Source organism: Homo sapiens, chromosome 20 (genome assembly GCF_000001405.40).
Source record: "Homo sapiens chromosome 20, GRCh38.p14 Primary Assembly".
NCBI classification, from domain to species: Eukaryota; Metazoa; Chordata; class Mammalia; order Primates; family Hominidae; genus Homo; species Homo sapiens.
Window position 1 is genome coordinate 13,696,373 of NC_000020.11, and position 26,572 is coordinate 13,722,944.

At 38.1% G+C, this 26,572-nt stretch overlaps 1 protein-coding gene across 3 annotated transcripts in view; it reads right to left on the bottom strand.

Moving 5' to 3' along the window:
- Positions 1-17,952: 17,952 nt before the first annotated feature.
- ESF1 (ESF1 nucleolar pre-rRNA processing protein) overlaps positions 17,953-26,572 on the bottom strand; it is a 70,595-nt gene continuing 61,975 nt past the window's right edge. For all 3 annotated transcript variants that reach the window (NM_001276380.2, NM_016649.4, XM_017027874.3), the window contains exons 12-14: positions 22,536-22,612; positions 20,996-21,142; positions 17,953-18,795 (exon numbers count right to left, since the gene is read on the bottom strand). In NM_001276380.2, the coding sequence (NP_001263309.1) occupies positions 18,502-18,795; positions 20,996-21,142; positions 22,536-22,612 (518 nt within the window). In that variant the 3' untranslated portion in view covers positions 17,953-18,501. The remainder of the gene's footprint in view (positions 18,796-20,995; positions 21,143-22,535; positions 22,613-26,572) is intronic.

The window sequence follows — 26,572 nt, forward strand, 5'->3', positions numbered from 1 at the left end:
TGGGCTAGGTTATGCTGCAGAAACAAATGACTTCCAGTGTCAATGGCTTAAAACAAGGTTTATCTTTTTACTTATGCTATGTGAACAATGTCAGTTGGGTGTTCATTTGGCTACCTTGGGAGTGACCTTGGAAAAGAGGGAGAGAATGTAGTGAGGAAGAGCATGTAGTGAATTCTATATTGGTTCTTAGCATTTCTATGTGGAAGTGATGTACTTTCTTCTGCCTGCACTTATTTCATTGATCAAAGAAAGCACGTGGCCACAAGTAACTTTCAGTGCATGGGAACATTGACTTCCATATGCCGAAAAGATGGAGGAGCTGAAACAGAGCAACCACGACTAATGACTACCTTGCTGGCTTGTCAAAGAGACTTGATCGTGTTGAGGGTACTCAAGTACTCACTTCCTTTCCCTCGTGTGCCTTCCCTCTGAGAGTGAAGAAAACATACTGAAATGCCAAAGACTGCCTGAAAAACTTCCACATTGATGATAAATTGAGGGAAAAGGACACTTCAGAACATATTTGGATCTTTCCATCTTGAAAGGGAAATTTCTTGTGAAGTTTTAAGTGGCCACGCTTGATTGTATCAGACAATTTAAAAATATTTCATTGATGATAAAACATGGCAAGTGAAGATTATGATTTCTTGAATTTTCCCTTAAAGGCTGAGAGGAGAAAAGTCCCTGCTAGGTAGCATTGTCCAACACTCCAAGGGAGATGAGAAGGGAACCCTCAGAGAAAATGTATGGGGGTGGGGGTGATGGAGGAAAGCATAACCTATGGATGCCCAAGTGCTATGAATTAAGGAAGAAACCTTTATGACTTTCCTATTTCTGTAATGTTCTAAAATGTTCCATTGTCAATGTTAACAGTCAAGGTTAGTTCTTGTCCAGGGCAGAGAATATGATAAAATGTCATCGGCAATCACTGGAATGGGATTTTCACCAGATGAGCAGAGGCAATCAGTGTGACCACAGCCTGGAGTTCCATATTGGGCACTTCTTTCTAGCTGGTCTTGGATTCTCATTGCATTTCATGTATCTAATCCCCCACCCTCCCACACTTCCCCAAAAAGGAAAAGAGAGAATTAACAAAATAAATAAATACTCATCAGTCACCAAAAAAAAAAAAAAATCCGGCAGTATAAAACCAGTGAATCATGATATAGTTTCTTGTTAGCGCAGCAGACATCTATTGGAGCATTTTTCCCAATCTCTCTGTTTTAGAAACTATTCAGAGAACTGCTTCCTGATTCCCACTGATCACAGCTAATGGGGTGAGCAGCAGATATAAGCTGGGCCTAAAATTTGCCCAATCACATTGTCTCTCCGCAAATTTAGTGCTTAGAATATTTAAAAAATATTTTAATGTTTTAAAATTTTGAAAAAAATCTCAAAATTTCAGAAAAGTTTCAAGACAGTACAAATATATTTGATTGTTTTTTCTTTTCTCCTTATTTTTCTTTTTTTCTTCTTTCTTTTTTTTTTTTTTTTTTTTTTGAGACAAGGTCTTGCTCTGTTGCCCAGACTGGAGTACAGTATAGTGGTGTGATCATGGGTCACTGCAGCCTCCATCTCCTGGGCTCAAGCCATCCTCCTACCTCAGCCTTCTTAGTAGTTGGAACTATAGGGGCAAGCAACCATGCCCAACTAAAAAAACAATTTTATTGTAGAAACAGGGTCTGACTATGTTGCCCAGGCTGGTCTCAAATTCCTGGGCTCAAGCGGTCCTCCTATCTCAGCCTCCTAAAATGCACGCAGCCAAATATATCTATTTATTTCTAAAAATATGAGAGTAAGCTACCAACACAATGACCCAACACTCTTGGGGAGCTTAGTGTTTTTTATTTCCTTCAGAAAAAGACATTCTCCTATACAATCAAAATGCAGTCTGCAAAATCAGGAAATCAATACGAATACGTCACTACCAGTTAATCCTCAGGCCTCATTTAAGTTCTACCACTGTCCCAATAATATCCTTTATAGTAAAAGGGTCCAGTTCACAATCATTCATTACATGTCTCTTCATTAGGGCTTAGACAACTTAAAGAATTTTGAAAGTTAGTCTTACACAGTAAAACAAAGCCATATAAACAGACATTCAGGGAAAAGTAAGTCTTCCCTCCCGTGTGACGCCCAGAGGCAATCTCTCTTACCAGTGTCTCATGCATGCTTCTAGACCATTGACCATCTACCATACACAAGCACAGTTGTGTACATTATTGAATAGGGATGTCCAAGCCTCTCTTAGTTCAGGGAAAAATAAAATCAGGTCTAGGAGTTCTTCCTTTAAGAATGTTGAATATTTATTAAGAACTTTATTGTTCACCATTAAGACAAAGGTTAAAGAGTTTCCAAGTGAATATATTCACCAAAATTTGTAATACAAAAGTCACTATTCACTTGGAGAAGATAAAAATTCTTCTATTGTCATACATTTGCCATTTTACTTCTCTCTTTATAAACATTAAGAATCCTTTGTCATTTAGTCGTTTCAAATGCTTGGAACATCTTCCAGATTATTACCTAAGTTATAAAATAGTAGTGTGAAAGTTGTTTTTAAAATTGTGTTAGTTGATATATAATATTCACAAGTAAACTTACTAAGCAGTTGTTAATGTTGCATTATGTATAGTAATGTAAGTTTATTTATATAATAATATGTTTTTATCTTAATGACATCAATGTGAAAAATTCAAACTTTATTCCTGAATCTTAAATATAAGGCACAAAATCTTTATTTATTTATTTATTTTTGAGACAAGGTCTTGCTGTCACCCAGGTGGAGTGCAGTGGTGCAAACATGGCTCACTGCAGCCTTGACCTCCTGGGCTCAAGTGATTCTCCCACCTCAGCCTTTCAAGTAGCTGGGACCACAGGTGTGCACCACCATGCCCAGCTAATTTTTAATTTTGTAGAGATGGGGCCTTGCCATGTTGCCCAAGGTGGTCTCAACTGTTGGGCTCAAGCAATCCTCCTGTCTCAGCCTCCCAAAGTGCTGGGATTACAGATAAGAGCCACCACATCCCGCTATTTCTTTAATAACATAGAAAATGGACCTATAACTTAAAATGTGAAATTCTGATGTGGTCATCTTATTCCACTTGCCCAGTGGGCTAAGGAGAGAGACGCATTGGCAGCAATATTAGCAAATATGAATACGAATACAGGAAACAGAGATGAGGGGAGGTGCGTTTCTGAGGACATTCTAGTTTCAGCTCCCAGTCCCTTCCTGAGCACTGATTGCTTTCTTGCCTTTGGATTCTATGCTGCAAGACTCTACAGTATCCTTCTAATAAATACCCATGCTCATGTCTTTTTAAATTTTGCTTAAGCTAGTTTGAGTTGGTTTCTGTTATGTGCAACATTCCTAAGAATATGATTAGGGAAGTGGAGGGTCACTTGAGCCCAAAGAAATCTGAAGAAACACAATTCCCATATGGTTTTGTTGTTTTTCTTTTTTTGAGATGGAGTCTCACTCTGTTGCCGAGGCCGGAGTGCAGTGGCATGATCTCGGCTCATGGCAATCTCCACCTCCCAGGTTCAAGCGATTCTCCTGCCTCATCCCCGCCGAGTAGCTGGGATTACAGGCATGTGCCACCACCATGCCTGGCTAATCTTTGTATTTTTAGTAGAGACGGGGTTTCACCATGTTGGCCAGGCTGGTGTGGAGCTCCTGACCTCAGGTGATCCGCCCTCCTTGGCCTCCCAATGTGCTGAGATTACAGGCATGAGCCACCGTGCCTGGCCCCACATGGTTTCTGATGCTCCGTGAGCTCTCCAGAACTGAAAGATTATGACAGACCTACAAGTCTAAATTATGGATCCAAATGGAGGAAAATATGTAAATCAAGTAATTGTTTTCCAAGTTTTTGTTTAGTTGAAAAATGAGCTGTTGTCAGAGTTAACCTGTTCCATCTTTTAGAGTTGTTCCACTTCTAATTAAAATGTCTTTCCTAACTCTTAGTTTAAGTTTAATAATTTTTCCAAAAAAATTAAAAAATTTAATCCATTTTAGTGACCATTTCCTGTCCTGCTCATCAGATGAACTTTTTGAAGTATGATTGAGTACACTATTTCTTACTAATTCAAGAGAAAAGACACTGCTAATTAATTTCAGATTTTAGTAAAAAGACATTTCAAAAACGTAACACTGCCACATTGGGGATAAAATTTCAACATGAGTTTTGGTGGGGACAAATCAAACCATAGCACTGCTCAAGACAAAAAGCATGTGTAGTGATGAAGGATAATGACTCAATTTTAATTTTTTAAAATTCATGAAAACAGCTCATAACCCCAAGGCAGGAATTTCTCACAACTTGCCCCAACACAGTATAATTCGTTAGTTTATTTGCTTTGGCACTGTCAGATAGCATGGAGTTTTCATCTCCACATTTTGGCCAAATTTGGGTAATGTAGAACCCACACTTAAGGTTGGGCACAGACTCTCACTCACACATTTTCATTTTCCTGTGCCTGATTCTGGTTTGCTCTTGGCAACTACTCCTTCATAAACTCTTAGAGGAAGGTGATCATGTGAACCCAGAGATGCTGAAAATAGTTTGTAACTCTTGTGCCAGTAGTGCTTATAGAACAAAGGGTCCCAATTGCCTTCTAAGGGGATTTGTCTCACTTCTCTTGACTCATGTCCACATCCAGAAAGCTGGGAACCTTACAGTATTGAGCATTCTATTCCAGGAATGTCAAGTTGCAAGCACTCTGACTACAATGCAATATAAAGAGTTTCTTTAAGAATATGGAGAAATGATCTGCAATGGTCTCAAAATAAGGCAAGATAACCCACAAAGACGATAGCCAAAGGCCACCATATTTGTCTTAGTATTAGGTAGGATATAGATAGAACGGCAAGTAACAGAGACCTGAGAAAACAAGGGCTTAAACGAGATAGGATTTAATTTTTCTATCACATAGAACTTTTGGAAAAATCCATGGATGAAATGGTGGGCATGCTCTACAAAATCCTCTGTAATCTTGGCTTCTTCTAGCTTACCATCCATTGTTCCTAGTTAATAGAGTGTGGCTTTTGTCTTAAGGACCTAAGATGGCTGCTAAAACTCTAGCTTTTACATTTGCATTCCAGGCAGTAGAGTAAAATGATGGAAGAAGGAAGAGGCAAAATTAACTAGTCTGATGACTTCAAAGGAAGATCCCTAGAAGCTGTCATTTGCCTCTATACCAGGATACAAAGAAGAATGAGTAAAATAATCTTTATTATGGAAAGCCCTAAACTCAACTAACAGGTTCTATTACTATGGAAGACAGAGAGAACAAATATTTGGGAACAACCATTGTTGTCACTTACTATCACTTCAAGTTCCTTGGAGAGCATGCATAACCTTTCTGGTGGTCTGACCTGCTCAGTGATCCTATGTACTATGGCCCAACTGCTGGTAGAGAGCTTTCTCTGCTGATCCAGGGTGTTCTGTTTGCAAAGAATAAAGATTTACTCAGATAATCTCAAATAATAGGACATTTACTATAATGTAATATACTTTATAAAGGTGGGGGGTAGATGTTCATCAAATGGCCAATGAAGCAGATCTCATTTTTCCAATACGACTACAAAACATTTCCAGAAATCCATTTCAGAACTTTGCCACTCCCCCATTAAGGGGTGTATTTCCTCACCTGGGAAGATTTTTTTGATTGCTGTGACTGATGAAGTATGAATGGCAGAAGTGATACTCTGTGTCTACTGAGGCAAGGTCATAAAATGTAATAGTTTCAGCCGGGTGCAATGGCTCACGCCTGTAACCCCAGCACTTTGGGAGGCCAAGGCAGGCAGATCACCTGAGGTCAGGAGTTCGAGACCAGCCTGGCCAACATGGTGAAACTCTGTATCTACTAAAAATACAAAAATTAGCCAGGCCATGGTGGTGGGTGCCTGTAATCCCAGCTACTTGGCAGGTTGAGGCATAAGAATTGCTTGAACTCGGGAGGCAGAAGTTGCAGTGAGCAGAGGTCATGCCATTCCACTCTAGCCTGGACAACAAGAGTGAAACTCCGTCTCAAAAAAAAAAAGTAATAGTTTTCATCACTTTGGAACTAAGCCACTATACTCCCAGCTGACAGCCAGCACTAACTTGTAACACATGTGAAGGAGCCATCTTGGAAGCAAATCCTCCAGCCTTCAGGATAGCCACCTCAGCTGATGCAATGTGGGGAACAGGTGAGCCTTCCCCCATAGCCCTTTGCAAATCAAAGATTCTTGAGAAAATATATTATTGTGGTTGTTTTAAGCTGTGAAGTTTTGGGCTATAAAAATGAGTAACAAGAACTGTCAGAACTCAAGGAAACATCCATGATCAGGAAGTACAATATAGCTGGGCCTTAATGTGTACTGGAATATACATTGAGGAACAGGAGGGTCTTTCAGGATCTAATATGGGTCAGGTGACCAGGTTATCTTTGCACACTTGGATATCAGTCAAGATCCAATTAGTAGACAGAAACAGTAACTTGAACAAGGTAAGTTTACATAATTATTCATTGTAACAGGATTAGAGTAACAGAGAATTGACAACAAAGGAATAACTGGGGTTTGGGAAGAGAACTCTAAAGAATATAGGAATCATGGATATAGGGAACATCCACTATACCTAGTACTGAGATAGAGCATTCAAATGAGAGGCAAATCTGGAAAAGCCTCTTCATCCCTGTGGGCTGAGGTCCGAACTTCATTGGTGAGGGAGCAGCTGTGGCACATACTGGACTGTGAGAAGTTACTGGGGTGCCACACTGGCAGGACTTGATGGGAATCTGGCTTCTGGAGAGCAGGAGAGAAACCTTCCACAGGAGTTGGACACAGAAAACCAATAGAGAAAAATGAATAAAACCAAAAGCTGGTTCTCTGAAAAGATCAAGAAAATTAATAAACCTCTATTTAGAATGACAAAAAACAAATGGCAAAGACAAAAATTATCATATATTATAAATTAAAAAAGAGATATCACCAGACCCTTCAGACTTTAAAATGATAATTAGGAAATACTACCAAAACACCCGTTAGGTCGAAGGGAGGAGTGCCTCTGCCAGGCCGCCCATCGTCTGGGAAGTGAGGAGCGCCTCTGCCTGGCCATTGTGCAACCCTCCAAGTGTGAAGTGACAGCCTTGTGTGTGACCTTTCTCCCTTCCCCAAGTTTGCATTTTCGACATTAAAGTTTACTTTTTAATAATTAAAAAAACACCGTTATGCCTATAAATTCAACGACTCGAATGACATGGACTAATTTCTTGGCATACACAAACTATCAAAATTCACTCAAGAAGAATAGATAACCTGAATAGTCCTATATAACTAAATAAATTGAATTTTTAGTTGAAAACTTTCCTATGAGAAAAACTGGTTTCATTTAAAGATGCTTTTAGTCAGGTGCAGTGGCTCATGCCTGTAATTTCAGCACTTTAGAAGGCCAAGGCAGGCAGATCACTTGAGGCCAGGAGTTCGAGAACAACCTGGCCAACATGGTGAAATCCCATCACTACTAAGAATACAAAAATTAGCTGGGCATGGTGGCAGTGCCTGTAATCCCAGCTACTTGGGAGGCTGAGGCAAGAGAATAGCTTGAACCCGGGAGGTGGAGGTTGCAGTGAGCCAAGATCGTGCCACTGTACTCCAGCCTGGGTGACAGAACAAGACTCTGTCTCAAGAAAAAAAAAAAAAGTGTTTAGCTAGCTGGCTAGATAGTTTTATTGACAAATTCTACTAAACACTTAAGGAAAAAATAACACCAATTCAATACAGTGTTTTCCAGAAAATACAAGGGGAAAGACTACTGACTTCATTTTATGAATTAGATTTGCCCTGATATCAAAACCAGACAAAAACATTGCAAGAAACCTGTTGACCAGTTACCTTCATGAATACTGTTTCAAAAATCCATAACATTATATTATCAAATTCAAATAATAATATATTAAAAAGACAATACATCACAACAAATGAAGTTTATCCCAGGAATACAAAGCTGACTAAAGATTTCAAAATCAATAAATATAATTCACCATATTAACAGGCTAAAGAAGAAAAACCACACATGAAAACGACAGATGCTGAAAAAGCATTTGAAAAAAATGCAGCATTTTTTCATGATTAAAAATTTGCAGAAAACTAGGCAAAGGAAGAAACTTTCTTTACCTGATTAAGAGCATCTCCAGGTAATATTATACTTACTGGTGAAAAACTGAATGAATGCTTCCTTCCTAAAATGGGGAGCAAGATCGCTTCTTGGCCTTTTGGCTAAGATCAGGTGAAGACGGGGAGCAAGATATTATCTGCTCTCACCACCTCTATTCAGCATTATACTGGAAGTTCTAGCAGTTGTACTAAGGCAGGAAAAATAAATAAAAGGTATGGAAATACAGAAGGATGAAATTAAAATGTCTCTCTTCATAGATGACATGGTTATCTTTGGAGAAGAATCTTTAGAAATCTACAGTAATCTCCTAGAATTAATAAATGAGTTTAGCAAGCTTGTGGGATACAAGGTCAATATACCAAAATTAATTGTTTTTCTATATTCTAATAATAAACAATTAGAAACTGAAATTTAAAAGTATCACTTACAATAGTACAGAAAATATTGCAACACTTAGGTACAAATTTTAAAAAATATCTGCAGTATACAAAAAACCAGAATACGCTGGTGAAAGAAACCAAAGACTATAGAAGATATATACCATGTTCATGGTTTGGAAAGATTCAGTATTATTGAGATGTCAATTCTCCACAAGTTGATTTATAGATTCAATGCCCTTCTAAAATAAAATGTCAGCAGGCTTTTTTGTAGGAATGAAGAAGCTGATTTTTAAATGGCTTTATATGGAAAGGCAAACAAACTAGAACAGCCAACACAATTTTGAGAAAGAACAAAGTTAAAAGACTTACTATAAAGCTATAGTAGTGAAGATAGTGTGGTGTTGGAAAGAGGATAGAAAAATAGATGAATAAAACAGACTGGAGAATCTGGAAATAGACCCAAACAAAAAAAGGCCAATTTGTTTTTATTTTTTATTTTTAGTGACAGGGTCTCACTGTGTCACCCAGAATGGAGTGCAATGGTGTGATAGCTTACCTCAAACTCATGGGCTCAAGCAATCTCCCTGCTAAGCTTCCTGAGTAGCCCACCACAACCAGCTAATTTCTTAACTATTTTAAGAGAATAAACTAGGTATTGATGAAATGTATCTCAAAATAATAAGAGCTATTTATGACAAACCCACAGCCAATATCATACTGAATGGGCAAAACCTGGAAGCATTCCCTTTGAAAACCGGCACAAGACAAGGATGCCCTCTCTCAGCACTCCTATTCAACATAGCGTTGGAAGTTCTGGCCAGGGCAATCAGGCAGGAGAAAGAAATGAAGGGTATTCAATTAGGAAAAGAGGAAGTCAAATTGTCTCTGTTTGCAGATGACATGAGTGTATATTCAGAAAACCCCATCGTCTCAGCCCAAAATCTCCTTAAGCCAATAAGCAACTTCAGCAAAGTCTCAGGATACAAAATCAATGTGCAAAAATCATAAGCATTCCTATACACCAATAACAGACAAACAGAGAGCCAAATCATGAGTGAACTCCCATTCACAATTGCTTCAAAGAGAATAAAATACCTAGGAATCCAACTTACAAGGGATGTGAAGGACCTCTTCAAGGAGAACTACAAACCACTGCTCAATGAAATAAAAGAGGACACAAACAAATAGAAGAACATTCCATGCTCATGGATAGGAAGAATCAATAACGTGAAAATGGCCATACTGCCCAAGGTAATTTATAGATTCAATGCCATCCCCATCAAGCTACCAACGACTTTCTTCACAGAATTGGAAAAAACTGCTTTAAAGCTCGTATGGCACCAAAAAAGAGCCCACATTGCCAAGACAATCCTAAGCAAAAATAACAAAGCTGGAGGCATCACGCTACCTGACTTCAAACTATACTACAAGGCTACAGTAACCAAAACAGCATAGTACTGGTACCAAAACAGATATATAGACCAATGGAACAGAACAGAGGCCTCGGAAATAACACCACACATCTACAACCATCTGATCTTTGACAAACCTGACAAAAACAAGCAATGGGGAAACGATTCCCTATTTAATAAATGGTATTGGGAAAACTGGCTAGCCGTATGTAGAAAACTGAAACTGGATCCCTTCCTTATACCTTATACAGAAATTAATTCAAGATGGATTAAAGACTAAAATGTAAGACCTAAAACCATAAACCTAGAAGAAAACCTAGGCAATACCATTCAGGACACAGGCATGGGCAAAGACTTCATAACTAAAACACCAAAAGCAATGGCAACAAAAGCCAAAATAGACAAATGGGATCTAATTAAACTAAAGAGCTTCTGCACAGCAAAAGAAACTACCATCAGAGTGAACAGGCCACCTATAGAATGGGAGAAAATTTTTGCTAATTTTGCTAATAAAATATTAGCCCATCTGACAAAGGGCTAATATCCAGAATCTACAAAGAACTTAAACAAATTTATAAGAAAAAAACAACCCCATCAAAAAGTGGACAAAGGATATGAACAGATACTTTTCAAAAGAAGACATTTATGCAGCCAACAGACACATGAGAAAATGCTCATCATCACTGGCCATCAGAGAAATGCAAATCAAAACCACAATGAGATATCGTCTCACGCCAGTTAGAATGGCAATCCTTAAAAAGTCAGGAAACAACAGATGCTGGAGAGGATGTGGAGAAATAGGAACACTTTTACACTGTTGGTGGGAGTGTAAATTAGTTCAACCACTGTGGAAGACAGTGTGGCGATTCCTCAAGGATCTAGAACTAGAAAGACCATTTGACCCAGTGATCCCATTACTGGGTATATACCCAAAGGACTATAAATCATGCTACTATAAAGACACATGCACACGTATGTTTATTGTGGCACTATTCACAATAGCAAAGGCTTGGAACCAACCCAAATGTCCATCAATGATAGACTGGATTAAGAAAATGTGGCATATATACACCATGGAATACTATGCAGCCATAAAAAAGGATGAGTTCATGTCCTTTGTAGGGACATGGATGAAACTGGAAACCATCATTCTCAGCAAACCATCACAAGGACAAAAAACCAAACACCGCATGTTCTTACTCATAGGTGGGAATTGAACAATGAGAACACTTGGACACAGGGCGGAGAACATCACACACGAGGGCCTGTTGGGGGGTGGGGGGAGGGGGGAGGGATAGCATTAGGAGATATACCTAACGTTAAATGACAAGTTGATTGGTGCAGCAAACCAACATGGCACATGTATACCCATGTAACAAACATGCACGTTGTGCACATGTACCCTAGAACTTAAAGTATAATTATATATATAAAAAAAAAAAGAGAGAGAGAAGGGATCTCATTATGTTGCTCAGGTTGGTCTCAAACTTCTGGCCTCAAGCGATTGTCTTACCCCAGCTTCCCAAAATGCTAAAATTACAGGCTTGAGCCACTGTGCCTGGCAGGATTTTTTAATCAAAAGTTTTATTTTGAGATAATGGTAGATGTCCACGCAGTTGTAAGAAATAATACAGATTCTGTGTTTCATTTACCCAGTTTCCCTCAATGGTAGTATTTTGAAAAACAGTAGTACAATGTCACATACAGGACAATGACATTGATGAAAATCATCTGACCTTACTCAGGTTTCATGTTTCACTTTTATTCACCTGTATGTATGTGTTGATATTTAGTTCTATACAATTTTATCCCATGTGCAAGTGCATATAGCCACCACCACACTTATGACACAGAACATTTCCAGCACCCTAAGGATCCTTCATGTTGCCCTTTTGTAACCACACTCACTGCCTTCCACACCCCTCCTTTTTTGTTCCCTGTAGCCACTAATCTCTTTTCCATTTCTACAAGTCTGTCACTTCAATAATATTATATATAAGTGGAATGTTATAGTATATAATCCTTTGGAATTGGTTTTTATTCACTCAGCATAATTCTCTGGATATGTATCCAAGTTGTTGCATGAATCAAGAGTTCAGTCTTTTTATTGCTGAGTAAGGAGTATTCTATGGTGTGGATGTATCATAGTTAAACCATTCACTCATTGAAGGACATCTCGGTTCTTTTGAGTTTTTAGCTATTTCAAATAAAGCTGCTATGAATATTCATGTACAAGTTTTTGCATGAATATAAATTCCCACTTTTCTGGGATCAATGTTCAAGAGCACAATTGCCACATTGCATGGTTATCGCAAGTTTAGTTTTATGATAAATGGTCAAATTGTTTTTGAGAGTGGCTGCAATATTTTACATGTTGTTAGTATATAGAAATGTAATTGATTTTGGTATGATCTTTTATCCTGTGACTTTGCTGAACCCACAGATTAGTTTGAGGCTTTTTGTAGATTCTTTGTGATTTTCTTTTTTCTTTTTTGAGATGGAGTTTTGCTCTTTGTTGCCCAGGCTGGAGTGCAATGGCATGATCTCGGTTCACTGCAACCTCCGCCTCAAGTGATTCTCCTGCCTCAGCCTCCCAAGTAGCTGGGATTACAGGCATCTGCCATCATGCCCTGCTAATTTTTGTATTTTTAGTAGAGACGGAGTTTCACCATGTTGGCCAGTCTGGTCTCGAACTTCTGACCTCAGGTGATCCACCCACCTCAGCCTCCCAAAGTGCTGGAATTACAGGCATGAGCCAATGCGCCCAGCAATTCCTTATGGTTTTCTACGTAGATAACTATGTCATCTGCAAGTATGGAGAGTTCCACCTCTTCCTTTTCTATCTGTATGGTTTTAATTTTTTTTGCTCTATTGCAGTGGGTAGAACTTCCACTATTGTGTTGAATAAGAGTGGTAAGAGTAAATATCTTTGCCTTGATCTTAGAAGAAAAGCATCTAGTCTTTCACTATAAGTATGTATGATGTTAGATACAGGTGTTTTGTAGATATTATTTACCAAGTTGAGGTAGTTCCCCTCTATTCCTAACTTGCTGAAGACATTTATTTATTTATTTATTTAGAGATGAAGTCGCACTCTATCACCCAGGCTGGAGTGCAGTGGTATGACCTCAGCTCACTGCAACCTCCACTTCCCGGGTTCAAGTGATCCTTCTGCCTCAGCTTCCCGAGTAGCTGTGATTACAGGCACATGCCACCATGCCTGGCTAATTTTTGTATTTTAGTAGAGACGAGGTTTCACCATGTTGGCCAGGCTGGTCTCACAGTGTTCACCATTTTGACCAGGCTGGTCTTGAACTCCTGACCTCAGGTGATCCACCCACCTCAGCCTCCCAAAGTGCTGGGATTATGGGTGTGAGCCACCGTGTCCGGCCTGAAAAGTTTTTATCATTAATAGATGTTAGATTTTGTTCAATACCTTTCTCATCAATTGATATGATCATATGTTTTTTTCTTAAGTCTGTTGATATGGCACACATCGATTGATTTTGAATGCTGAGCCAGCTTTGCATACCTGGAATAAATCTTGCTTTGTCCTGTGGTATATTTCTTTGCATACATTGTTGTATTTGATTTGCTAATACTTTTTTGAGAATTTGTATGTCTAAGTTCATGAGACAGATTGACTCTCTAGAATCAATCGCATTTCTATATACTAACAATGAACATCATCCTGTAGTTTTTTTATTTATACTGTCTTGTTTTGCTGTCAAAGATATACTGGTCACATAAAGTAAGTTGAGAGGTGTTCATTCTTCATTTTCTCAAAGAGACTGTGTGAAATTTGTGTTATTCTCAAATAGTTGTTAAAATTCCCCAGTGAAGCCATTTGGACTTGGTAGTCTCTTTTTTGGGAGTTTAATTAATTAACTAATTTCTTCAATGACTATAGGACTATTGGGGTTATGGATTTTATGTGGTTGAGTTTTGGTAATTGACCAATTCATTTTTGATAAAAGTACTCAGGCAATTCAGTGGAGGAAGAACAAACTTTTTAATAAGCAATGCTGAAATAAATGAACAGTTATATGCAAAAAAAGAGTATCAAGCAAACCCTAACACCTTATACAGAAATTACTTTAAAATGTAAAATGGATCTAAATGTAAAACATAAAATTCTAGGATTTTTAGAAGAAAATACAGGAAAAGTCTTTGTAACCTTGGTTTTGTAAGAAAGTTCTTAGATAGGACACCAAGGCAGTCCCTAAAAGAAAAAATTGATAAATTGGACTTCATAAAAATAAAACATTTTTGCTCTGTGAATGACACTGTTAAAAGAATGAAAAGACACAGGCCATAGAAAAGGAGAAAATATTAGCTAATCACATATGTGACAAAGGACTTGTATATAAGATATATAAACAACTCTGAAAACAATAACAACTCAATTTTAAAATAAGAGAGCAGAAGACATGAACAGACACTTCACCAAAGAAGATATACGGTTGGTAAATATGCACATGAAAAGATGCTCAACATCATTAGTCATTAGCAAAATGAAAATTAAAACTACAATGAGATACAGGTAAATGCTTATTAGAATGGCAAATAAAACAAAAACCCAGTAGCCCAAAATGAGCATCAACAAAAACTGACAATATCAAGTGCTGGTGAAGATGTGGAGCAACTGGAACTCATATATGGGAACGTAAAACAGTTCAACCACTTTGGTAAGTAAATTTGCAGTTTACTATAAAGCTAAATATAAACTTAGCAAATGACCTAGGCAGAAAACCTATGTTTCACACAACAACCTATACATTAATTACAGCTTTGTAATTGCCAAAAACTGCAAACAACTTTGTGTTATTTAGGCCAATAGATGGTAAATCATTTTTCTACAGAAGAGGAAACCTAAGTAAAGTGTTGATGGTTTTAATAATAACAAACAATTTGTTCATGCCTCCTGGTATGTATACCCCTCTGCATTGTGACTTTGCCACTTGTTGGTTTAGGGTTTGGCCATGTGATTTTCTTTGCCAATGGGACAATAGCAAATGTGACACTGTTGGAGGCTTGAAAATGTTTGTACATTGGGACTTACTCTCTCTTGCAACTGGGAACCCTCCGTCACATGTGAGGCCTGGACTAGCCTACTAGATGAGAGATCCTCTAGCCACCCTAGAACCATCTGAGTCCTCAGACATGCAGAGTCTCATCAATCCCCAGCTGAGCTGGATCTTAACTGCCCAGCCAAACTATAGATTCATAAGAAGGAATAAATGCCATTTTAAGCCACTAGATTTTGGGTGGTTTGTTAAGCAGTAAGAGCTAACAGATAAAGTTGATATTAAATTAACTTGTCTCCAATCTGGTGGACCCAAAAGCAAATTCTTTGGGCCTCCTTTCTTTGCCTCTAAGCAAAGTAAAAAAGTGGTTCTCCATCTTTGCTGAACATTGGAATTATCTAGGGAGCTTTAAAAAATAATGACGTCTGGGCCAGGCGCAGTGGTTCATGCCTGTAATTCCAGCACTTTGGGATGCCAAGGTGGGTGGATCACTTGAGGTCAGGAGTTCGAGACCAGCCTGGCCAACATGGTGAAACACCCGTCTCCACTAAAAATACAAAAAATTAGCTGGTCATGGTGGCATGTGCCTGTAATCCCAGCTACTCGGGAGGCTGAGGCAGAATTCCTTGAACCTGGGAGGCGGAAGTTGCAGTGAGCCGAGACTGCACCATTGCACTCTGCACTCCAGCCTGGGTGACACAGTGAAACTCTGTTGAAAAAAAAAAAAAAAGTCTGGATACTACTGCTATATATATGATTTAATAGGTATGAGGTGCAGCCTGGCCACTAGGGTTTTTGACATACCAAGTGATTCTAATAAACAGAAAAGGCAAAGATGTTACCTATCTAATATTGGCCTGCTCGGTAACGAACATGGAACAAATGCAGTCTCCACTCTCCTGCTCGTGTCTCTAGCATACCTCTCTCAGAGAATATGTAGTGACGATATTGTGTATCAAGCTGATCTCCAACAATTGCTGCTGGTGAAGCAAATCAGAGCTTTACCAGTATTAAGTTACTTACGACTTTTTCTAGATGATGCTACAGGATTGACCTACTCTCCACGGTCCCAACAGCAATAAAAACTCCAACTAAATGTGACCTTAAGACCCACCAAAACTCCCCTAATTTGTTTGCTGAATTATGATAGTGGCCACTTTTTAATCCTAAATTTCACTACCTGCAATAATTTGAGAACCCTAAAGTTATTGGTGTAGAATATTTAACGCCTGATAATGCTGTTCTCATTTTTTTTCCTACCTAAAAAATATCAACTCTTTGAGAAAAGGAGCCAGGGCTCTGTATGACTTATGTACTCAATTTTTTTGTTATAATTATGTGCTTGACTAGTAAAATGAGATTTTACAATTAAATGCAGTGACTTAACGGGCTCAAAAACAGAAAAACCAAACCCAATGGCTCAGGTTCACAGAAACCTTAAAATCAGACTCTGATTTTGAATTTTTGTGCAATTACTACATTATGATTAAACAGTTTAAAGAGAACAAAACTTTTCCCCTGCAGAGAATGAAATATGAAACATAAATCTGTTTATAGACCATACTCATAAACATATTAAGATTCATGACCTTTCAGTGGTAATATGGGGAGTTCACAGATGTATCTAAAGAAATAATGTTTTATTTGGCTGAATAATCCAACGATCAGTGCTTATGATAAAATCAATTCCCTGTTTGGATACTGTGCATTTTTCTGTTATAATAAGCAATTTAAATGTCCTTTTTTTCTTCCCTTTACAGAGACTATTTATACTCCCTTATTATTTTGATATCACTCTGAGTTTTCCATCATTTTAGTCTTTAAAATATATGCTACATTGGTGACTTTTTTTTTTTTTTTTTAAATAGAGACAGGGTCTTGCTCTGTCACCCAGGCTGGAATGCAGTGATACAATCACAGCTTACTGTAAACTCAAACTCCTGGGCTCATATGATCCTCCCATCTCAGCCTCCTGAGTAGCAAGGACCACAGGTATGTATCACCACACTTGGCTTGTTATACGCACGCGTGCGCGCACACACACACAGACGTGTATATATATATATTTTGAGACAGGGTCTCCTGTTGCCCAGGCTGGAGTGCAGTGGCTCAATCTCGGCTCACTGTAACCTCTGCCTCCCAAGTTCAAGTGATTCTCCTGCTTCAGCCTCCTGAGTAGCTGGGACTACAGGCATGCACCATCACGCCCGGCTAATTTTTTGTAGTTTCGGTAGAGATGGGGGGTCTCACTGTGTTGGCCAGCCTGGTCTTGAACTCCTGACCTCAAGTGATGTGCCTGCCTCAGTCTCCCAAAGTGGGGGGATTACAGGCGTAGGCTACCACACCCAGCCTATGGTCTTACTATATTGCCCAGGTTGGTCTCAAAACTCCTGGCCTCAAGCAATTCTCCTGCCTCAGCCTCCCAAAGTGCTGGGATTACAGGTGAGAGCCACCTTGCCTGGTCAGTAGGTTTGATTTTTAATACCCCAAATGTCAAGTTTAACCACAAACCTGGTCAAATTCCTGTTGTCTTTCAGAAGTTACCATATTTATAATTTGCTCCAAGTTACAAGTCTGGTTTTATTTACATTTACTTATACAGCATATCTAATTTGACTGTCAGTTGTCTATAATATTTAGACCAGATGAGATCCAAGAGTGTTAAGGCCTTAAAGATGTGTTTTAATTTTAAGAAGAATTAAGGTATCCTTAAACTCTACAGCAGCATATCCATCCTTCTAAAGTATTCCAAAAATGTGAAGGACAGACAGAAGACTTTTCTGTTGCTACCAAACAGAAAAACCACTGGAGAGCTCATGAATATTTCAAATGCAATTTACGAGCAATGCAACTCTAGAACTGCCTTTAAATGGAGTTGTCCTCTTAAAAAGTTAAAATCGGTTTTCAGATATTTTTCCAGAGAGTACTTTGAGATGCATAAAATGGAATAAATCAGTGCTATACAAAATAATGAAAATATTTTACACTTTTATTTACAAGTTAATTTCATAAACTATACTTAACATGACTAAACAACAAAAAGTTCTTGACTTCCATCCTTTATGGCTAGAAAAATAAATTATTTTAATAGTTATTTAAACATGCCTCCTGCTTCCAGAGAAATTAATGTATTAAATATATATATTTTTCAAATTATCCCTAACATTTACACAAACTTGAGTAGATACTGCTCTATTTTTACACAGAATTGTAAACAGCCTTTTAAAAAGCTAGAGTAACTTTCCACTAGTTAGAACTGAACATTGTAAAATATAAAAATTTTATAAACCCTATAATGCAGGTAATTTAATTATGACTGATCTGTAGGAATATACAATAAAAATTTGTCAGTCATCCACAATTAAGTACAATTATTTATGGAGAAAAATTTTACTATGTCCAGAAAAAGATTTTATTCATGTTCTTGAAAGATAGCTTTGTTCCCAATAAATATTCCCTCCTATTATTTTTGTACATTTTAGGAAAAGATGTATTCAGTTCAAAAATAAGTAACATCCAGTTATTTGACTTTTTGCTTTTTTCTTGCTTGAAACTGCTCTGTTTTGGTTTTTATAGATTTAATCAACATTGACAAAGCAGGATCAATGGACTTCCTTTGTGATTCCTTTTCAATCTCACTCTCTTTTTTCTTTATTGCCTGAGTAAGTTCTTGTTCTTTCCGTTCTCTTTGCCGGGCCTTCTCCTCAAGGATTTTTTCCATAGCTTTTGTTTTCTTGAAATTGGGATCTGAGGGGTCCAAATTGAACAAGTGGGAAGTGTACATTGCCTGAAACCGTGCATCGTTAACATTTACCTGCAAATCCAAAAAAAAAAAAAATTAATAAATTAATTAAACAAAATTACTAAAGCAAAAGGCCAGAAATGGGGCCAAATTTCGAAAGTTGGTGAGTTGATTATATAAAATACAAACCTGAGTGTTTGTACTGATTCATTAGGAAACTGTTTTTCCATAGCTCTTTATGGCCTACCTTTGGACCACAACTTGTGGGGCACCCTGTTCTTATCATGCAAGGACAATGTATTTCAAAGGGAATTATAGTGGGCCATACATATACATATTATGGCCGGTAACTACAACGACCACTTAGACAAAATGACTGTAGCAGTGGTTTGTGAGGCAGGGCTTTCCCATGCTTACAGCACAAAATCAATTTCTTACCAGCATAAATAAGCCAATCAGAACATCTGCTGGAGGCCCTGAACTCTGAGTACATGTTAAGAAATTTTAATCTTGGTGCCAAAATAAGGAACTATTGAAGGTGATCCATGGATCAAAAGATTTAAAGACCACTATGGCAAATAATCCATCTGAGATCAAGGTCTGGTCAGACACAAGCCCCAGATTTATCTTCTTTCTATAAAAACTTGTGGTTCCATGTTTAAGAATATACCCTTAACTGCAGCCAGCCTTTGAGGGCTGCCAGGCAGATGGGTAACCAGCAGAAAGGGAAACACACGAAATACAAGTCCACCTGGAGATAGATTGTAGCTTTACTTAGTTATCACGAGGCCAAGGGATTTGATACCCAGAACAAGGAAAAAAATCCTGTAAAAAATACTTTTATGCATATATTAATATATGAAGGCAGAATGACTACAAATCATTCTTTGCTTTTCATAAGGAAAGTAACTCAATAAAAACCTAACTGGAATGGGAGCATATGTGAAACTGACTCAAACAACAGAAGCTACAGAGTAGCCCCCAAATCCTTCTATATGCTACTTAGAAGCCATCTGTATGCTACCCTCCATTGTTTGAACAAATTTAAAATTTCCCAAATTTCCCCCATCTTACTCAGGGTCAGTTCTTCCACATTAATGGTTGGAAGTCATTAAGCAGTTTCTAACAGCTGTTTGTAGATTTTTGGTAGACGGCTCAAACTCATGCTTAGGGGACTCTGCAGCCATTAGGAATATGTACTCAACAAAAAGAGGAAGGAGTAATGGAAACAAAAAACACAGCAACTGAAAAAACATGGCTTACTGCGCTGGCCACTGCACACAGTGAGTGTGACCCACTGTGACATGAACCTGCTATTCAAGCATACCTTTGCTGGTCTGAGGATCACTACATGTGATTCTAACATTAAAAACTACACATTTTTGGTACAATATGGCTACCAAAATACAAGTCAACTATTTCACCTGGTGCTCAACCAAAGAAACAATGATTTCATCCACCCTAGGATGAACTGGCTGTGCTGGATTAAAAGACAGTAGCCTTTGGCTCCACCATCAGTCTTTCTGAAGACATTTTCTTTTTTTTTCTTTTTTTTTTTTTTTTGAGACAGGGTCTTGTTCTGTTGCCCAGGCTGGAGTGCAGTGCCACAATCATGGCTCACTGCAGGCTTGACCTCCTGGACTCAAGCGATCCTCCCACCTCAGCCTCCTGAGTAGCTGGGACTACAGGTGTGCGCCACTATACCTGGATTTTTTTTTTTTTTTTTTTTTTTTTTTTTTTTAGACAGAGTCTTGCTCTGTCACCTGGGCTGGAGTGCAGTGGCGAGATCTCGGCTCACTGCAAGCTCCGCCTCCTGGGTTCACGCCATTCTCCTGCCTCAGCCTCCTGAGTAGCTGTGACTACAGGTGCCCGCCACCACGCCTGGCTAATTTTTTGTATTTTTAGTAGAGATGGGGTTTCACCGTGTTAGCCAGGATGGTCTTGACCTCCTGACCTCGTGATCTGCCCACATCAGCCTCCCAAAGTGCTGAGATTACAGGCATGAGCCACCACGCCCAGCCAGCTAATTTTTTTTATTTTTCATAGAGATGAGGGTCCCACTATGTTGCCCAGGCTGGTCTCCAACTCCTGGACTCAAGTGATCCTCATGCCTCGGCCTCCAAAAAAGTGTTGGGATTATAGGCGTGAGCCACTGCACCGGGCCCCTAAGACATTTTCAAGGGTAACTTTGACTATGCTCAATTTCTATCTGCAGAGCTGACTTTAGATTCAATTCCAGCTTTAAGAGGCTATGCCTGGTGTCTATGGTTACCTCAAAGTCATCCTCTATTAATTCCTTCTTTTTCATGAGCTGCTTTTTCTTCTTTTTGCTCAGATTCTGGTGCTCCACAATCTTGTTGTAATTGAAGTGTTTCTTACTGTCCTCGTCCTCATCCATCATAAGCAAAGCCATTTCAGCCTGTAGAGAGCAAAAAAAAGTTCAAATGTACAACAGTGCTTTTTTTTCCACCCCCAAAAAGGAGTATAGGGCAGAAGATATCTCTTCTAGAAAGGAAGACTCAATCACTAGAACTCTGGGGTACCACCTGTTGTCTGTAAACTGACTGTGGATTACCAAAACAAAGAGATCTTTGTATAGCAATAAGGTAGAATCTCTGGAAGCAACATTACTGAGAGCAGGAGAGGTAAAACCTTGTAGTTAAAAACCAGGCCCCATTTCACTTAGTGTGACTCATTAGTAGGCTGCAGGAACAAGAGTCCCCAACTACCCTCAAATAAAAAGTTCTCATTTTCACTTTGTTCTTTTTGCGCAATGATGCTAAATCTAGCAAATGTTTATTTTGTGATGCAAATTATACTTTCTAAATGTGTAACTTTTAACAAGTAAGTTTTTTTTTTGCTTTTTTTTTTTTGGCCTTTACTGTTTCAATACTGATACATTTCTATGAAGGTAGGACCTTAGGATCTGCTTCTGAAATCTAGTAAATGTCTTTTTACACTAAACGGGTATTTTCTACCAGCCATGGGATTAAACGAGAACCCTCAAGAATCAAGTAAATAACCATGTACACTAGTAAAAATACAGAGTATGCTCTCGACCTTTGTGGATCTTCCTATATTACCACTTTAGACTGCCTTAATTTCCTTTTGTCACTGGCACTTTTAGCTGGCTTTTCAGAGACATTTTCCATAAAAATTGATTTTCTTTGTTGCTCTTTAGATAACTTTATGTGGCCAGTCAGGCACACTTCTGGACAGTGACATGAACATCAGCCCTAGGGGCACTGCTGCCTTCAATTCCTGCCTCAGCAAAATCACATATGACTCTGTGCCAAAATTACGTGTGACTCTGGACATAGGGGGTCACTGAAGCATAAGGTTCACTGCATTTCCAAGAATGTAATTTTGTACGTTAAATATACATATTCACAATAAGAAAAACAGAAATTTGCATTTGACAAACCATAACCACAAACTGTATTCCAGGACAGATTCAGATTGAATTAAAACTTATGGCAATATTATTTTGAGGTTTTAAGGGTATTTTCTGCCTCAGGTATAGTAAGTGTTTTTAAAAGTGAGATAATTCCCTCTTAATTTATAAAAGAAAATAAATACCCTTGAATTTGAGGTTAATTTTAACTTTGTACAATTTGGAGAAATTATGTTTGGTAAAAAAAACACTGTATTTAGAAACTACACTGCTAAAATATTTAATTATGTCTCTTACAATTTAGTTATAAATGCCACTGCTAAAATAAGTTGTTTTTTAAAATTAGTGACATGTACAACTTCATTTAAATTGTACCTATGAATTATCCACTAAGCATGTAACAATAATCGTATTTTACCTTTTGTCTTTCTATTTCAATTTCTTCTTCTGGAGATGTGCCATCTTTTGCAGATTTTACCGATTTTTTATTTATACCTGGCACAACAAACCAACATAAGAGTGGTAAAAATTACAGGACTATCAGCAACATTCTGTTTATACTAGGAACAAAAATATAAGATATCTAGGAATAATCTTAACAATAAATGTGTTGAAACTAAAAGAAAAAAACACGTTACTGAAAGAAGACTGTGGGTATATGAATGGAATAAATACAATGCTTCTGCATGGAGTGACTGCATGTTACAAAGGAAGAATTTCTTTCAAAGTAATGTATAATTTACATTACCAATTAAAAAAGAAAAACCATAGATCATTTCCACAGATACAGAATAAGCATGTCCATAAACATAAGAATACTGATTAACATTCAACATCCATTCATAATAAAAGTAGTATACACATTTAATGAAATTCTAAATAAAAAATTCCATTCAAGGAAATCTTTAGAAAGATTACATAGATTCCATGTACTAGTGACATAGTGTATTAACGTGTACTGAAAAGTGAAAATAACCAAAAAATTCCTACACAATAAAAATGATGAAACAGTATATAATAAAATATAGCATCATCATTAGAAACAGAAAAGATTGTTTAATAACTGCTGTTGAGCAATTTGTTTCATTCTGGAAAAAAAGATCAAATTAAAGCCTTATCTCATAATACATAAGAAAATAAAACGCAGGTGAATTTAAGAGTTAAATATCAAACAAAATAAAACAAAGAACCCCTATGAGAAAATACAAGGGAACAGCTACTGTATCTTAAATAGAAGAAATATTTTCTTAGCATAAGAATACTGGAAGAGACAAAGAAAAAACCCCCAAGTGATTTGAATATATAAACTCAACACTATATATCAAACTCTCATCTGCAAAATGAAAAAACTTATCTTTATAATAATAATTTGACAGTCACTACCTGTAAATATAAGTTTTAAAAAACGCTTTCTCCTTCTCTGAAGACAAATCTGATCTTTAGTGAACTTTCTAGCTCTATTACCAGGCAATACCACCAGGTAAAGTGGTTCCTGACTGGAAAATAACATGTATTGGGGTCTCTAAATGCTTATAACTTTGGGCTTCCTTGATACCGTGACTCCTGTAACTGGTAAAACAGGGATCTGGAAGCTATGTCTAGGTGCTGTTAAAAAGCTCTCAGTTCCTATTTGGAACATGAGACTTCTCGCCCAGGGTGACTACTGTACACTGTGTCTCCTTTCCTTGTACCCAAGCTGTACTGCTGAGTGAACTGCCGTGAAGACTCGATGAAGAGAAACACCCAATACTGCCCTGCTGTGTTTCCTGGGCTAACTACCCATGAGAGCCAAGTGTGACCCACTCAAGCCTTTTGTTTGACCACCTAGAGAGCCTAAGAAAATCCCCCGCTGGGCACTGTACCACCCTCAGCAAGTCATCTTTGGAACAATATGAAATCCTATGCCCCTAGATGTGATATAATATGAAAGATAAGCATTGCCTATGAAGTATGCTTGCCAAAACCATTCAACATGAATCTAATGGAACCACTCGTCTAACTTCCAGTTTATGGAAAATATAGTGGACCGAGTGGCAAGGAACAGATACATCTAGAATATAAGACATTCCAAAAGATCACTAGCCTGGGTTCTTGAAAGGCAAATGTTATGGGAGGGGGAAGTGTATATGGTATCTTCTAGACTATAGTGAACTAAAAAGACTACTATTAAATATGTCTATTATATAGTAACATCTTGTATAAATACATTTTTATGATATACCATAAAAGTATATGCATACAAAAGTAAAATGGCAAAATGTTAACAACTGCCAAACACAGGTGCTGTTCACTGTATTATTCTCTCAATTTTTCTCAATGTATAAATTTTCATAATTAAAAACAAGAAACGGCTGGGCGCAGTGGCTCACACCTGTAATCCCAGCACTTCGGGAGGCCGAGGTGGGTGGATCACCTGAGGTCAGGAGTTTGAGACCAGCATGGCCAACATGGTGAAACTCTGTCTCTATTAATAATACAAAAAAATTAGCCAAGCGTGGTGGCCAGCACCTGTAGTCCCAGCTACTAGGGAGGCTGAGGCGGGAGAATTGCTTGAATCTGGGAGGCAGAGGTTGCAGTGAGCAGAGATTGTGCCACTGCACTCCAGCCTGGGCAACAGAGCGAGACTCTGTCTCGATAAAAAAAAAGAAAAGAAATGACTGCTTCTATTATAATACTAATATCTTTCACTTATAAAGATTTCATGTAAATGAAAATATTAACACAGAGCAAAGAGAATTCACAGACAAAACCAAATGGTCAATAAACAGAAGGAAATTATTTCGCCTATCTCACAAATGTTAACTGAGCACTTATTATGTTGCGATCACAGCTCCAGGTGCTGGTGACACAAGCCGTGAACAAGAGGTTAAAATCGTCTCTCATGTAGTATACCTTCACGTTGGGAAAGACAGAGGCAAAGCAGGACAGAAGGGTTGGAGACTGAATGAGGGGGCTGGTTTTGTTAGGGTAGTTAAGGAAGGCCTCTTCAAGAAGGTGACACACAAACAATGACCTGGATGAAGCGAGGGAGGTGATATGTGAGAACACCTGAAGAAGGGTGTGGCAGGAGAAGGGAATGGTCAAGATGGTTGAAGAATTGCAGCTAATGGGGTAACATGATAAGCAAAACCTAAAGTCAAAAGAGGCTTTAGAAACTCCTCTGTGTGTATTAAGTCCCTGCGAATACTCTTGCACACCTGTCCAGTAGACATGCCCAGCCAAGAGAACATGCCAGCATAAAAGTGCTGCCAGGCTTGCCTATCAGTGCTACCAAGCCATTTGTTTTGCACTTCCAAGAAGAAATATTTATTGTATGCAGCCCTTCTCCCTAGAGAAAATGCTCCTCATCACTGGTCCTATCTGAAATTTTTTTCAGGGAATAATATACGAATCTTAAGAGTATAATCTTTCTCTGTCTTAATGTATGTGTATGTCCTTACACATATAAATATCATCAAGGTTCCACTTGCTTAGGGTATGAACCCCCCATTCCCTAAATTTACCACTGCTCCTATGCTCTCAAGCCAAGAGCTCCTTTTGAAATGAATGGACAAATGACATATGCAAAATATTATTCTGTAGCAGGGAGAAAATTAGACTGTATATAATTAATATTTAAAGCAGATAAAGATCTTCACATACAGCTGTGGAAAATAATTTCAAAAAGCCCACAATAAACTATTTCAGATTTTATAACAACCTGGTGAAGAGTCTTAAAAATAAACTTGAAAGGAGGACTGTAATAAGGGAGAAAGAAAAAAAAATCCCCAAGATAGGGCTAAACATGATATCCGGTTTTAGCATGAAGAAAATTTCTTTGCTAACAAAGAATTTACTATGATGTTAGACTGAATTGTTTAGTGAAAAGATAAACAATGCATACAGATGATTTCTGCACTGTTAATAAGATCAAATATTAAGAGATCACATCTATATTTTTTTAAAAAACATTTTTTCCTCCCTGGAAAAATTTCAGACTTAAGTTAGATGAACAGTACTAGGGAAATGAAAGTTTGTGTTCTAAAATATTGTCTTTATTTTTCAGTCAATCTTTTGTCAAGTAAGGAACCACATCTCTAGCTGGGTGTGGTAGCTCACACCTATAATCCCAGCACTTTGGAAGGCTGAAGGAGGAAGATTGCTTGAAGCCAGGAGTTTGAGACCAGCCTGAGCAACAAAGCAAGACCCCAGCTCCACATTTTTTTTTTTTAAATTAGCCAGGCATGGTGGTGTATGCCTGCAGTCCCAGCTACTTGGGAGGCTGGGGCAAGAGGATCACTTGAACCCAGGAGAGTTCGAGGCTGCAGTGAGCCATAATAGCACCACTGTGCACTCCACCCTGAGTGACAGAGCAAAATGCTGTCAAAAAAAGAAGAAAAAAAAAAGAAACTACATCTCCTGGGACTGCTGCAAAAAATACATATGGATTGATTCTATTAAGTCAATACTAACAGA